The sequence below is a fragment of the Homo sapiens genome, chromosome 14 (genome assembly GCF_000001405.40).
Source record: "Homo sapiens chromosome 14, GRCh38.p14 Primary Assembly".
Taxonomy (NCBI): Eukaryota; Metazoa; Chordata; class Mammalia; order Primates; family Hominidae; genus Homo; species Homo sapiens.
In genome coordinates this window covers 40,240,843-40,257,413 of record NC_000014.9, presented here as the reverse complement: position 1 = coordinate 40,257,413, position 16,571 = coordinate 40,240,843, and the positions used below count along the sequence as shown (strand labels likewise).

The 16,571-nt window shown below is 34.5% G+C and overlaps 2 long non-coding RNA genes across 3 annotated transcripts in view; one reads left to right on the top strand and one right to left on the bottom strand.

The window, feature by feature from the left end:
- LOC105370464 (uncharacterized) overlaps positions 1–16,571 on the bottom strand; it is a 47,489-nt gene that overhangs the window by 7,904 nt on the left and 23,014 nt on the right. Inside the window, exon 3 of one of the 2 annotated variants that reach the window (XR_943788.2) lies at positions 7,525–7,726. The exons of the other annotated variant lie outside the window; for it this stretch is intronic. This is a non-coding gene — a long non-coding RNA (uncharacterized LOC105370464). Of the gene's footprint in view, positions 1–7,524; positions 7,727–16,571 lie in introns of those variants that run through there. 2 annotated transcript variants of the gene reach the window in all.
- LOC105370463 (uncharacterized) overlaps positions 1–16,571 on the top strand; it is a 117,571-nt gene that overhangs the window by 91,164 nt on the left and 9,836 nt on the right. The window contains exon 5 of the long non-coding RNA XR_943786.3: positions 15,744–15,910. This is a non-coding gene — a long non-coding RNA (uncharacterized LOC105370463). The remainder of the gene's footprint in view (positions 1–15,743; positions 15,911–16,571) is intronic.

The following is a 16,571-nucleotide window of genomic DNA, read 5'->3' as shown; positions in this document are numbered from 1 at the left end:
AAAGTAGTAAAGACAATACTCATCTGAAAGTTGGACACACAAACCTAGGGATTTACATATAAGCCTGAACAAGTCTTAATATCTATAAAACGGTCTGGGTTTTTTGCAGGCCTATAAGTAGCATTGGAACTTCAGCAAACAATTGAAGTTGTAGAGCAACTTAGTGTAAATGGCTTAGCATTGCTTGGAATTTCAGTTATACATCCTTCTATTTAGAACACAGCTTGCAAAGAAATCACAACTTTAAATAACCCTTGGTCTTGATCTATTGCCCACTCTTATTCTAATGGCTCTATTATTTAAGCAATTAGAGAGATGGTTTTGAAAAAATGCTGGACCATGTTCCCAATCCCACAAGTGTAAATTACAGCTAGTCTACTTTGTCTTTTCCCTAATTTTGGTGTATGAATGAAATAAGCATATATTTTATTAATATTCAATTTCATTAAGTGCATATTTGATGGTGCTATGAGTAAAAGAGACTATTATGTCGTGCTTTCTACTTTATGTAGAAATGAGACTGTAGATATGATACTGTAAAGGCTATCTATAAAGAAAAGAGTTAATTGTATAGAACTTTAAATAACTCAGGGTTTTATTTTCCCATATTACAAAATGTCAGAAGGTAGGCATGTGCTGACATTTATATCGACTGATCGTGGCTATCAGAGCCCAAGACTAAGATCTTAGCTTTACCTTCAAAATGTGAAGAAAGTAAAGAGAGAGGCTATAGCTCTGGCCCTCATCTTAGTATTTAAAGCAGGAAGAAAGGAAAGGAGCAAAAGAAAAAAAGGAAGAAGCAAACTTATACTAGCTGACTCTTCTTCGGTTTTAAGATTCTTTCCTAGAAACTCTGTCCAATGACTTTTTCTCATATGTCATTTGGTAGAACTCAGTCACATGGTTATTTCTGTCTATAAGGATGGTTGGAAAATATACATTTTTAGAGGTTTTGGTGCTTACAACAAAGCTGGAGTTTAATTAGTAAGGAACAAAGTAAGACTATTTACAATGTAGGCCAAAAGCAAGTATCTCATGCAGTTCACATTTTGGCTCTCCAATATCCATACACTACATTTGTACATACATGATACCTTCCCATGCATGAGGCATACTTCCCACCTCCTCAAAGGAAATAACTAAAAAGCTTTATCCAATTCATACCCAGGTCAAAGTATAGGGTATCTAGGTGATGTTTAATTTTTCTGATCAAGTCTAGATATGATTCTTTGTGGTTTGATTATATCAAACTAAATTACAAGTTACCTCCTCTGTACATATTTGAAAAATGATGCCGGAGCACAAGAAAAATAAAACTAAACTACCATTAATAATGGAGGATAATGGCAAATGCACAGCACTTCTTGGTCTCTAGCCATTATAAATTCTGCTTGAAAGAAGTACAAAGGATCTCCTTCCTTTTCAGTGCAGAAATTTTCTAGGTTTGACAATCTGACAACCCCTTATTCTACATACTAAGAATATCTGCCTTAAATATTGTACTCAAAGACTATAATTAAACAGGGTTTTGGGAAGAATGGCCTTCACAGAGATTGAGCAGTTTTAGAAGTCTATCCCCTGCTGGTGCCAGTATAGGGACATGGAATATATTCCCCTTGTTAAAATCACTGGTTCTTTGGTCTCAACAGAAGAGTTTGTATCAGATTAACAGCCCCAACTAGTATAAATCTAAAACATGGATTAAAAAAGAAACAATAAACTTTAGAATTTGAGGGACCAACATCTAACAGGAAAGAGAAGCACACTGAGGTTTGGCCACATTTCCTCCAGGATATCAGCAAATTTCTTGTGCTGTAAAGAGAATACCAGTGTCTAGACATCCAGGTGCTTGTGGGAGTTTCACTGGGTTTTGGAAGCAAAAACCGGAACAGAAATGCCAAATCCTGAAGAAGAGAGAATCATAGATGTGAACCTGAAATTATTCAATTTCTCCTCCTCTAAGTATTTGTCAAACCCTAAGCTTCCAATGCAATAAACAAAATACTAAAAAAAGAGAAATAAATAAAAAAAGCAAAATGCAGGAAGCTGAAGGCCTAAGCAGAGATTTGACAGTTTCATGGAAGTAGGGTGACAAAAGTCAGTCTATGACTCAAGAAGCAGAGAGATTTTGTTTAAAACCCTGGAATTTCAACTGCAACCTTGGAATAGCCATGCCCTAGGTGTAAATTATTCCCAGGAGGAAGAACAAACAAGAAACAGTCTAACTCTAAGGAAGCCCAAAGCTAACTCTCAACTGGATCAGAGTAATCTGCATGTAACCTTTCCCTCTGCCAGGAGAAAATCAAATCATTTTAAATGAATGAAGAATATAACATCATTCAGGGCCTCTACAATTTCAATATACAATGTCAGGAATTCTATAAAAAATGCTAGGCATGCTAATAAAAAATGGTTCCAAGAGGCTCCATGAACTTGTATGAATCTGATATTAGCCCATGCATTACAACTTTATTTTAAATTATTGGGTTTTGCAGTTAAAAGATTCACATGAGGTTCATGCATCTTTTCCTTATGTTTTATTGGTTTTATAAATGTCCTAACCAATATAGCATTTTGTTTCAAATTTCATACTTAGTAGTCATTTTTTTCATCATATCTATATGTATCACATAAACTTTCTAGATTTTTAAATTTGTTTTTCCCTGCTGTTCAATCTTCTCTTAAGAGTGTAAGAAAGACAGTCTTAAATCGTTGAAGCCACCCTCCCTAATTCTCTGGCAGCAGTCTCTGGGTGTGGAGAGAAAATTTATGTGATTTGGAGAGGGTGAGTGCAGCGATTGTGAGACTTTGCATTGAACTCAGTTCTTCCCTGTCACAGCAGAAGACAAAACTGGGGTAAACTCAGCCAATGTTTACCCATGGAAGGAGCATTTAAATGGGCCCTATCCAGAGAGAAATGGCCCATCCCAGCAGTTGGAACTTGAGTTCTAGCAGGCCTCACAACCATGGGCTAACGTGCTCTGGGACCCTATATATATTTGAAAGGCAGTCTAGGCCACAAGGACTGCAACTCCTATGCAAGTCTGAGTGCTGAGCTGGGCTCAGAACCAGTGAAACCGGGGGGCATGCAACTTACTGAGACACCAGCCAGGGTAAGAGAGTGCTTGTCCCACCCCTCCCCAAGCCTCAGGCAGCACAGATCATGGCTCCAAAAGAGGCACCTTCCCTCTGCTTGAGAAGAGGAAGGGGGAAAGAAAAGAGGACTTTGTCTTTCATCTTGGAAACCAGCTTAGCCACAGTAGGATAGAGCACTGATCAAAGTCATGTGTCCTGTGTTCCAGGCCCTAGCTCTGGGATGACATTTCTAGACACACCTTAGACTAAAAGGAAATCTGCTGCCTTGAAAGGAAGGACCCAGTCTGGGCAGGATCCATCACTTGCTTAATAAAGAGCCCTTTGGCCCTGAATAATCAGCAATGATACCTAGGTAGTATGCCATGGTCCTTTGGTGAGATTCTGAGTCATGCTGACGTCGAGTGAGACCCAACACATTCCCAGATTTTGTTGCTATGGTGAGAGACTCCTTTGGTTCGAGAAAAGCAGAGGTAAAAATAAAAGGGACTTTGTATTGTACCTTAGAATCCAGCTCAGCAACAGGTGGGTAGAGTACCAAGTGGACTCTTGGGTTCCTCAATTCTAGGCCTTGGTTCTTGGATAGCATTTCTGGACCAGGCCTGGGCCAAAGGGGAGTTCACTGCCCTGAAGGGTGAGTCCCAGGCCTAATAGCATTCACCACAATCTGACTAAAGAGCCACTGGGCCTGAAATGAATGTCAGTGGTAGCCTGGCAGTACGCCCCATGGGCCTTTGGTGGTGGTGGCCACAGAGTGATATCCTCTGCCTGTGGAAAGGAGAGGAAACAGTGGGAAGGACTAAGTCTCATAGTTTGAGTGCCAACTCAATCACAGTACAATAGAACCCCAGGTAGACTTCTAAGAATTTGACTCCAGCCTGTGGCTTCTATATGAAATCTCTAAACCAGCCCAGAGCCTCAGGGAACTTGCTCTCTTGAAGAAAAGAACACAAGCCTGACTGGCTTCACCATAAGCTGACTGTAGAGCCTCAGGGCCTCAAGAGAACATAGGTGGTAGCTGGGTAGTAGTTACAGTGGGCCTTGGCAAGAGAGACCCAATGCTGTGCTGGCTTCAGGTCTGACAAAGAACAGTCGTAATGGTGGTGGCCACCGGGGTGTTTGCTGTCATGCCCTCCCAACTCCAGACAGCTCAGCAAAGACAGACAGTCCATGAGTTTGGAAGCAAGTAAGGGAAAAAAAAAGTCTCTGCCTGGTAATCTGGATAATTTTTTCAGATCTCATGTAAGACCACTAAAGTGGTAACTCTACAAATCTGCAAGAAACTCACTGTTACTGGGATTCAGGTGCCCCCTAGTGTAGACATGGCTTAGATTACAATACTCCAGTCCTTTTGAATACCTGGGAAACCTTCCCAAAGATGTCCAACAAGCCCAGACTGTGAAGACTAAAATAAATACCTAATTCTTCATTGCCCAGACACTGAAGAACATCTACAAGTACCACCACTAACCAGGAAAACATGACCTTATCAAACATCAGGTCTGTCCTACAAGATATGCTAAAGAGCATACTTTAATTAGAAAGAAAAGGACATTAATGAGCAATAAGAAATCATCTGAAGGTACAAAACTCACTGGTAATAGTAAGTACCCAGAAAAACACAGAATATTATAACACTGTAACTGTGTTGTGTAAACTACTCTTACTTTAAGTAGAAAGAGTAAATGATAAGCCAATCAAAAACAGTAACTACAACTTTTCAAGACACAGACAGTATAACAAGATATAATAAAAACAATAAAAAGTTTGAAAGTGGGGTGATGAGGTTAAGGGTTAGAGTTTTTATATAGTTTTCTTTTTGCTGCTTGTTTCTGTGTGCAATCAGTGTTAAGTTGTTATCAGTTTAAAATAATGGATTATGAGACAGTATTTGCAAGCTTCTTGGTAACATCAAATCAAAAAACATACAATGAATACACAAAGAATAAAAAGTAATAAATTAAAGCATATCACCAGAGAAAATCACCTTCACTAAAAGGGAGATAGGAAAGGAGGAAAGAAGACAACCACATAACAACCAGAAAACAAATAACAAAATGGAAGGAGTAAGTCCCTACCAATCAATAACAACATTGAAGGTAAATAGAATAAACGCTCCAATCAAAAGACATAGTGTAGCTGAATAAATGGAAAAAAACAAAGACGCAATGATCTGTTGCATCAATGTGCAACATTGCATTGTGAAGGTGCAAGAAATATACTTCACCTATAAAGATACATGCGACTGAAAATAAAAAGATAAAAAAAATTCTATGCCAATGAAAACCAAAAAAGATGGGGAGTAGCTATATTTATATCAAACAAAATAGATTTCAAGACAAAAACTACAAGAAGAGACAAAGAAGGGCACTATATAATGATAAAAAGGTGAATTCATCAAGGGAATACTACAATTGTAAATATACACACACCCAATAATGGAGTCTCCAGGTATATAAAGCAAATATTACTATAACTAAAGAAAGAGGTAGACAACAATAGAGTAATAGCTGTAAATTTCAACATCCCACCTTCAGGATTTTTCAGATCTTCCAGACAGAAAATCAAAAAAGAAACATCTGACTTAATCTGCACTATGGAACAAATGAACCTAATCGCTATATACAGAATTTTTTTTTTATCCAATGACTGTAGAGTACACATTCTTCTCTTAAGCAAATGTATTATTCTAAAAAATAAACCATGTGCTAGGTCACAAGATGAGTCTTAAAACATTCAAAACAATTGAAATAATATCAAGAATCTTCTCTGACCACAGTGGAATAAAACTAGAAATCAATAATAAAAGAAATGTTAGAAACTATAAAAACACATGAAAATTAAATAATGTGCTCCTGAATGATCAGTGAGTCAATAAAGAAATTAAAAAGAAAATTAAAAACTTTCTTGAAATAAATGATAATGGAAACACAACATACTAAAATCTCTAGGATAGAGTGAAAGCAGTACTAAGAGGGAAATGTATAGCTTTAAATGCCTAAACCAAAAAAGAAGAAAAACATAAATGAAATAATATAATGATGCATCTAAAAGAACTAGAAAAACAAGAGCAGACCAAGCCCAAAATTTGGAGAAGAAAATAAATAACAGACATCAGAGCAGAAATAAATAAAATTGAAATGAATAAAATAATACAAAAGATCATTAAAACAAAATGTAGATTTTTTGAAAAGATAAAAAAATTGACAAACTTTTAGCCAGACTAACAGAAAAAAGGGGAGAAGACCCAAATAAATAAAATCAGAGATGAAAAAGCAGATATCACAACTGATATCACTGAAATTCAAAGGATCATTACATGCTACAATGGGCAAATACATGCCAATAAATTGGAAGATCAAGAAGTAATGAATAAATTCCTAGACACATACAACCTACCAAGACTGAACCGTGAACAAATCCAAAATCTGAACAGATTAATAACAAGTGATAAGACTAAAACTGTAATAAAGAGTATCCAAGCAAAGAAAAGCCCTGGTCCTGATGGCTTCACTGTTGAATTCTACCAAACATCTAAGGAAGAATTAATACCAGTGCTACTCTAACTATTGCAAAAATATAGAGGAAGAGAAAAAACTTCTACAAGGCCAGTCTTAGCCTGATACCAATGCCAGAAAAAGATACATTAGAAAAAGAAAACTACAGGCCAATATTTCTAATGAATATTAATTCAAAAGTCCTCAACAAAATACTAGCAAACCTAATTCAGCAATACATTTAAAAAGATCATCATCATGATCAATTGAAATTTATTACAGGGATTCAAGGATGGCTCAACATATGCAAATCAATCAATGTGATACATCATATCAATAGAATAAAGGATAAAATCGATATGGTCATTTCCATTGATGGTGAAAAAGAACTTTATAAAATTCAACATGTCTTCATGATAAAAACCCTCAAAAACTGGGTATACATGGAACATACCTCAACACACAAAAAGCTGTATACAACAGACCCATGGCTAGTATCATACTGAATGGGGAAAAAATGGAAAGCTTTTCCTCTAAGACCTGGAACAAGGCAGGGATACTCACTTTCACCACTGTTATTGAACACAGTACTGGAAGTCCCAGCTAGAGCAATCAGACAAGAGAAAGAAATAAAGGGCATGTTTACCCATGGAAGGAGCATTTAAATGGGCCCTATCCAGAGAGAAATGGCCCATCCCAGTGGTTGGAACTTGAGTTCCAGCAAGCCTCACAACCATTTTAGAGATATCTTACTTCTTTGAATATGTTAATTCCTAGATTTTTAGTTTTATTTGTAACTATTGTAAATGGGATTACAATGGGATGAATAAGACCGTGACTGTAGTCAACAATAATTTAACTGTACATTTTTAAATAATGTAAGAGTATAATTCAATTGTTTGTAACACAAAATATAAATGTTCAGGGTGATAAATATCTCATTTACTCTATTGTCATTTTTATGCATTGCATGCCTGTATCAAAATAGCTCATGTAATCCATAAATATATATACCTTCTATGTACTCACAAATATTAAACATTACAAATTTAAAAAATAGCATGCTTTACCTTCTTTCTGATTTCTCCTTTTTAGGTTTTCTGTTTTTATAAGTTTTACCTTTATAGTGGAATATCCTTACAAGAAAAAGAAAGTAAAAATTAGGAGTGATATAAAATTATTCTAACCTACTATCAAAAACTATCAATAACTATTTCTAGTTATATTATCTATAAATGACGATGATTAATTTAGGACCAAACAAGTATCTCTATTGTTGTTCATTTCATTATATGCAAATGTAATTTCATAAAGATCCTGTGATTTTAGTTACTTGTGAATTTACTTTTGAAAAATTTACAAGTATATACTATAGTTATCTACCAACTAAGAAATAATTCTCTTTGGGGTTTATCAAGCATTTCTAGATACCACATTGTCATAAATTTTACTAGAGGTAACAATTTTCTCATTGCACTTTAATGTCCTGAGTGAATCATTCTATAGCATAAACAATGTTCTCCCATTACACTGTTAAAACTGAATTAAGTATCAGAGGCGTACAGTACTCTCCACAAAATGCCATTTTAACAGGGTTTAACTGCAACACACTTAGGTAAATCATTTTAATATATAACTGCAATAGTGCTGAACATTCAGTAATACAAACAATACTTGGTAACTTAAACCACACACAGCAAAATTGAAAGTAGATTTTTTTGAATGCACTTTATTCTTTTAAAAAGCAAAATCTATCAGTTTGCATAGTAAGAAAAGACATGAATGTCTGAGCATAAAATCAAAAAATGATATAAACACTAACTTTTGCCAGAAGAGAGAAGTCATTAGAGATACAACGATTATACACATACATCACCATACATCACTTAAGCACTTCCTACATCTGCAGTAGCATTGCTTTCTAAATGGTTCCTGCCATAACTCAGTCACACTGATGAGGCACATACCTTCTCCTTGAGCCTACACTATGCAGAAACTCATAAGTCATTCTGATCATGACAGAAAAAGAAATGCCTCTGTCCAAAGAACTCATGATTAACAATTCATGCAGCCACTGCTTTTCCAGGTAGATTTTTCATAAGTATTACAAATACTTATTCAGAAAATCTGCATATAGGTTGCCATTTTTAATTACCAAGCCAACCAAACAAGCAAAAATAATAAGTAACCAAATAAATTGCTGTGTGAAACATACAACTGACACAACTTATTTATTTACTTATTTTTAGTGTACTTTTCCCTGTTTTCACAGATCTAATTACAGGATAAGGGATAGTGATTCAGAGGTGGTAGCTGGACACTGAGCAAGATTCACTACTCATTTCTTCAGAAACACAATGCTTATTCCCTTTTTAAAGCATTTTTACATGATGTTTAGGTATAGTTTTGTATCACCTTCCCAAACATATGAGAATATTGTATTTTTAGAATAATCAGAAAATTCTACAGTAAAATTAGAGATTTGCTATATTATTTCCAAGAAGAATATGACACACTTTCAATAAATATCTCTCTCACAAAGAAAAACCAAGATTACAGAGGTGAAGTAAAACATACATTATTTCACTGGTTTATGAGTACCTTCTATACACATGGCCTCAAAGTATTGTGTGTGTGTATATATATATGTGTGTGTGTGTGTGTGTGTCTGTGTGTGTGTATAGAAATTTTATTTTTACAGTGAGCTCAACAGTCATGATTACAGTTAGTAGTTATTTCTGTGTTGATTTATGGATAATTTTTATTTTCTTTATTAAATTTACTACCATTATTCATCTTTATAAAATGAACACATGTAATTAGAAAAATATTTGAAATATTACTCAAACAAAAATACTTATTTGTTACACTTTTTACTGCAGTGAGATCAACTGATTTTAGCTTATATATATGAGTGAGAACATGTGGTATTTTAACTTTCCATTCCTGGCTTAATTCACTTAACATACCATCCTCCAGTTCCATCTACGTTGCCACAAATGACAGAATTTTATTCTTTAATAAGACTGAATAATATTTTATGGTGTATATAAGTCGTATTTTCTTTATTCATTTATCTGTTTTTGGACAGCTATGTTGATCCCATATCTTGGCTACTGTGAATAGTGCTGCAATAAACACGAGGTTGCAGGTATCTCTTCAATATACTGATTTATTCTCCTTTGGATAAATACCCAGAAGTAAGATTGTTGAATCATACAGTAGTTCTATTAATATTTTTACTTTTTTGAAGAACCTCCATTCTGTTCTCCATAGTTGTACTAGCTTACATTATCATCAGAAGTCTATGAGTTCCCCTTACTCTGCATTCTCACCAGCATTTGCTGTTTTTTATCTTTTTCATAGTGGCCACCCTAACTGGGGTGAAATGTTAACTCATGGTGGTTTTGACTTGCATTTCCTTGATGATTAGGATGTTGTGCCGTTTATATATTTCTTGGCTATTTGTGTATCTTTTTCTGAGAAATGTTTATTCACATTATTTGACCATTTTTTAATCAGGGGAATGTTTGGATTTTTGCTGTTGAGGTGTTTGAGTTTCTTGTATATTCTGGATAGTAACCCCCTATTGGATAAATAGTTTGCAAATATTTTCTCCCATTCTGTCAGTTGCCTATTACTCTGTTGTTTCCTTTGCTGTGCAGAAGGTTTGTAGTTTGATAGGGTCCCAATTGTTTATTTTTGCTTTCATTGTTTGTGCTTTTGAGGTGTTATTCATAAAAATTTTCCCAGACCAATGTCCAGAAATCCCCTATGTTTTATTACAGTAGTTTTATAGTTTCAAATCTTACATTTAGGTCTTTGATCCATTCTGAGTTGATTTTTGCATAGCATGGGAGGTAGACGTCTACTTTCATTCTTCTGGATACCCAGTTTTCCCACCATCATTGCCTGGAGAGATTTCCTTTCTCCAATTAGTATTCTTGGTACCTTTTCAAATATCAGTTGGCTGCAGATATGTGGATTAATTTCTGGCTTCTCTAGTCTCTTTCATTGGTCCATGTGTCTGCTTTTTATGCCAGTATCACACTGTTTTGGTTACTACAGCTTTGTGGTATATTTTGAAGTCTGGTAGTACGATTGATGCCTTCAGCTTTGTTCTTTTCTGTTCAAGATTGTTCTGGATCTTTGGGGTCTTTTGTGGTTTCAACAAATTTTTAGGTGTGTGTGTGTGAAGAATGTCATTGTTATTTTTAAAGAGATTGCATTGAATCTGTAGACTGCTTTGGGCAGAGCTGGAAAATGCAGGGAAATGGGGTTATAGGGAGGGATTTGTTAAAGGATACAAAATTTGGGTCAATAGAGGAATAAGTTCTACTGGTCTATACCATTGTAGAATGACTATAGTTAACAATAATATGTTATATAGTTTCAAATAGCTATCAAATATATTATATAGTTTCAAACAGGACATTGAATATTCCCAAAGAAATGATAAATGCTAGAGTTGGTGGATATGCAATTACCCTGGTCACATTACTATTCATTATATGTATCAAAATATCACTATGTACCCCATAAATATATGCAATTATTATTTGTAAATTAAAAAATTATTTTGCCTAGCAAGTTAATTTAAAAACCTTCCTCAAAATTCAAAAATGAAATGGAAAGACAAGCTTTAAAATTTCCCACTCATATCCTCTGGGTGAAAATGTAAAATCAGTGTGCCTCTTTAAGGGGTCTTTTGTCAATGTCTATTACAAGGAAAAATAGAATAGCTGGGTCAAAAGCTATTCTACTTTTAGAAATCTGTGTATTCTCACAAGTGTGCAAAGAGACATGTATAAGAACGTTCAGTGAAGCATTGTCGATTTTACATTAAAAACAGCTAAATGTCTCTCAAAGAGTTATCAGGGAAATAAATCACAGTAAATAGATGTAGTGGAATATTATGCAGCAATTTAAAGAATAATGTGGATATGTAAGTGCTTACATGGAAAGCATCCAGGTAATACTATTTTAGAAAGCCGGCTAGAGAAAAATGCATATTAAAATGAATTTTAGTATGTACACGTGAAAAATTCATATTAAAATGAATTAATATAGTATGATCCAGCAATTTAACATCTGGGTATACAGCCAAAAGAATCAAAAGCAGGGTCTTGAAGAAGTATTTGTACACCATGATCATAACTTCATTTACAATAAATCCAAAGGTGAAAGCACCCCAAATATCCATTCACAGATGAAGGAACAAAAAAAGTGGTATACCATTAAAATGGGATATTATTCAGCCTTTAAAAAGGAGGAAATTCTGACACATGCTACAGCGTAGACGAACATTGAGGACGCTATGCTAAATAAGATAAACAAGTCACAAAAAGACAAATACAGTATGTTTCCACATATATGAGGTACTTAGAGTAATCAAAATCATAGAGACAGAAGATAGAATGGTCCTGGCTAGGAGCTGAGAGGAGGAGGAAATGGAGAGTTGTTGTTTTATAGGTACAGACTTTCAGTTTTGCAAAATGAAAAAGTTCTGGAGATTGGTTGCACAACAGTGTGAACATAACCACTACTGAAGTACACACTTAAAATGGCTAGGATGGCAATTTTATGTTTATTTTATCATAACTTAATATTTTTAATAAAAATATTTATTTGCACAACAATAATTTTAGAGTTTTAAATTTAGATTTAGTAAATATATATTTGTATGTATCTGCTTCTTACATATGGATATATCTTTCTTCTTTATATAAAACCAAATTGGCTTGGAAAGTTGCTTGAATAATGTTTCACAAAAATATAATGAGAAAGAATATAATATTCATAGCAGTCAATATTAACTAGAGAAGAGCATTGCAAAGAGATGATGCATTATATAGAAGTGAAAGAAGATGCAAAACTTGAAGAGAATTTTAAAGAATAAATAGATCATATTTTCTAAGTTTTACTCTGCCTAATGGCATTAAATTACTCTTGGCTTTCCCTCTAGGACATAAGATACTATGCTAAAATAGGCTGTATATCTAGAAAAGTTTTTTGTACAGATAAAACCATCTGGACATTAATTTGCCTTGAATTTTCTGTGAGGTGCTGAGGGCAAAGCAGCAGATGTCATCAATAAGCTATGCAGAGACAATGAAATCATGTCCTCTTACCTTAATATATAAAACAAAGAGGGGAAACGGCATACATAAACAGAAGGAGGTTTAAATGCCCTCAAAATATTAATCCAAAAGTGAAGATTATTTGATTGAGCTTTAGATTTTGCATTTATTTCTACAAAATTCACTAAAATTGAGAAATATCTATTAAATGGAAACAAGTTGTATTGATTTCTATTGGAACACATCCAGAGTGGGCCACCCAAATGTGGACATTATTATTATTAATAATGTCACATATTAATTATGACAATCAAATATTTTTAACACCTTTCTTTTAAATAAGGCAGTGATTTCCAACTAGGAGTGACTTTGCCCCCCAGGGACAATTGCCAAGCCAACATTTTTGGTTGTCACCACTGAGGGATTCTACTGGGATCTACGGGGTAAAAGCCAGGGATGCTGCAAAACATCCTACAAAGCACAGGACATCTTCCTACAATAAGAATCTTCCAGCCCAAAATGTTAATAGTGCCAAGGTTCAGAAACCATGTTTCAATAAAAATAATGCACTTAAATTATTTTAAATTGAATGTGATCATAGCACAATCCAGAGTTTTTAAGTTATAAGAATTAGAAAGATTGACATTGTTATAAAAACATAAAACAAGGAAATTGCAGAATTCCTTCTACAGAAACAATGAGTTACAAAAATGGGTACAGGTCCTATATAGCACTGATACTTTAGACATATAATTTTGTGCTTCTAATCTTTTAGAATACCTTTTAAAATACTCTTTTCTCAATAAATTCATGTGTGTATGTGTGTGCATGTGTGTGCATATGTGTGTGAGTCAATATACAACTATGATTTTATAGTGAAGAGATACTTTTGCTCTTAAGAGAAATTGGACCCTAAGAAAAGCCTAAAAGAGGCAAAGATTTTTAAATGCATATAAAATCCACAGCTACTTAGACATAAATATACAAGAAGTGAGGATGAGAAATCTGTACTCCTCAGGGAGAGTTAAAGGACAGTTAACCTTCTAAAGTTAATGACATGGAAAATTCTGGGACATAGAATTTAGGCTTTGGACTATCTGACTGAAATCTATCACTTATCTATATCAGATAAATATTCAGTGAAAGATTTAAAATAATGGCAAAAGTTATTGTCATTTTGTCTTCTACATGATGATTAATTTCTATCAATAATACCAAGAATCATAGGGTCTAAAAGGATTGATTTTAGAGTTGGCTGGTTTCATTCTTCTACTACCATTTCATTGACTTCTACTACAGCTATCTGATTGCTATTAGTCTTCTTAATTATTTACTAAGAATCAAGGAGTATCCAGAAAAATTACCTATATCTTCTTTACAAAGATTACCTCCTCATGCCAGAGAAACTGGAAGTGCTATTAAGCATTGTGAGTGAAATACATCAGATAAGTCTCAATCAATTTAGAAAGTTTATTTTGCAAAAGTTAAGGACGTGCCTGTGACACAGCCTCAGGGGGTGCCTAAGGTGGTTGAGGCACAGCATGGCGTTATACATTGTAGGGAGACATAATACACCAATCCATATATGTAAGATATACACATTGGTTTGGTGTGGAGAGCCGGGACAACTCGAAGGTTTGGGGGGAGGGTGGGGAGGTGTCATCTTGGTCATAGGTAGATAAGAGACAAATGGTTGCATTCTTTTGAGTCTCTGATTAGCCTTTTACTAAATACACAATTTACATGTGAGAGCAGGGTAGAGGAAACATCATTTATGCCTTAGTCTGGCTCAGTGAATCTGCAGTTTTACATAAACAATACGGCAGTGGAAACGATCAGATATCCATTCCTCTCAGGTCAGCAGAGGGATGACTATGAGTTCTGCCCTTTGTCCTGAACTCGTGATGATAAGCTATCAATTTACATTGCCAGACTGAAATTCAACAGAAGTGTTTTAGGTAAAAACTTTGATGCCCACAAGGAATTTCTTTGTGGGCAAATTGTGAGAGAGGTATGTAGCTTTTTTTTCTTTATAGCTAAGCTATTTTACTTAGGAATAAAATGGGAAGCAGGTTTGTCTGACACAGTTCCCAGGTTGACTTTTCCTTTTGGTTCAGTGATTTGGGGGTCTTGAGGTTTATTTTCCTTTCACAGTACATCATCTGGGAAAACATAAAGATTATGTTGTATGAGGCATTTGAAACATTGCTAAGTAATATTTTGCCAATTCATGACTTTGTAGTAGGAGGTTTTCAGAAAGGAAACAGCTCCTTCTTATCAACCTGTTTCAATTAATTATACAGGTGTCAATCAATACCGTATAAGCCATTTGTTTTTTAATTTATTATACATAATGCTAGGACAAAAATATTTAGTGTTATTCATACTTGATTGATTAAAATAAATTTCAATTTAAAATATATGGTTTTAAAACAATAAGAAGCATTTGCTGCATCGATTTCAAAAATGTGATTAAGAACATTAATCACAGGAGAGTAGTTGCTGAACACAGTCTGGATCAAGCAAGAGCCAATGCAAGAGTCTCATTTCAATTAGGGAACAAAAAGCAGCAGAATCTCTATATAGTAGTCTCACAGAGCTTCTTTATTATTTTGTATTTTCTTTATGTTTGTGTTGTTGTCATCAGGTGACCCAGATATTTTCAAGAACTATTTATACTTTTAAGTGTGAGGTCAGTCAGAACCTGAAGATTTCAACAAGTTGTCATGTTGGAATGGAACAAAGAATTTTTATTTAATGTAGACTATTATGGTGAAAATATTCTTAATTAAAATGTATGTGCATTTTACCTGGTGATTTAATAGACTATTCAAAAAGTGCTAATATTTGGTGAATTCTTAGCTGTCACACATGTTGTAGTGTTTCCTGAGTACTGAAAAATCGTACAGTGGTGGAGAGCATGTTTAATACTGTGGGGGGTAGTAAATAAACCAATGAACTCAGACACTGCTAGGAGTGAAAAAAAAAGACTACCTATGCCAAGTCTCCCAATAGCATGCAGCGTCTCTTATCCAAATGCAGGGACTGAGAGCCATTCATCCCACCTCCTCAGGTCCTCCATGCATCACTGCTGTCAGAGAGATTCCAGCTCCTCTCCAATGCTCATCAAAGATATGAGAGAGATGAATGCATATAACAGAAGGAGTGTGGATAACAGATACCTAAGAGAGAATGAGAATTGGAAAAGACCGACTGAACAGACAAGGGAGCTAAATACAGGTGAGTGTTTGGTAGGGAGGTCAGAGTAAGAATTAGAGAGTGAGATAATTTGAAAGAATTTAAGGCTGCAGGACACTTGCAGAGAGAATGCAAGAGGATTCAATAAATGCACGCTATAGGCTATAAGTTTTCCTTACATGGACTTGGGGAGATGAAAGTATATATTTTACTTCTAGGTTATATATAGTATTTCTCTGAATTCAATGTTGCAGTAGGATTGAAATACAAGGGGTCCCAGAATTAATTCAGATATATTTATGCCTATTTAATTATTTAAATTTTGAAAATTAGATAGCCATGTCCTTGCATTAAAATGGCCATTTAGCTAGAAGTCTATTACTTATATATTTCTAAAGTAACAGGAAGTATTAACCAAAGTCATTAGAAAAAAATATGTGTGACCCTGAATCATATAAATAGTTTCCTAAATATCCCGTATTTTTTGTGTTACAACAGCCAATATTTTGTGCTGATAAAAAAAAAGCACATGACTCTTATTTAACTGTGAGAATCTAAATAAATTTAACACCATGGTATAAAATTCTCAGGAAAGAAGAATAGTTGTTATAATTTTTTTGTGTTATAAATTTTTTTATTATGTGTTATAATTTTTTTTCTGAATTTAGAGTGTAATTTTTCTTTGTTCCTTCTGTTGGTTCAA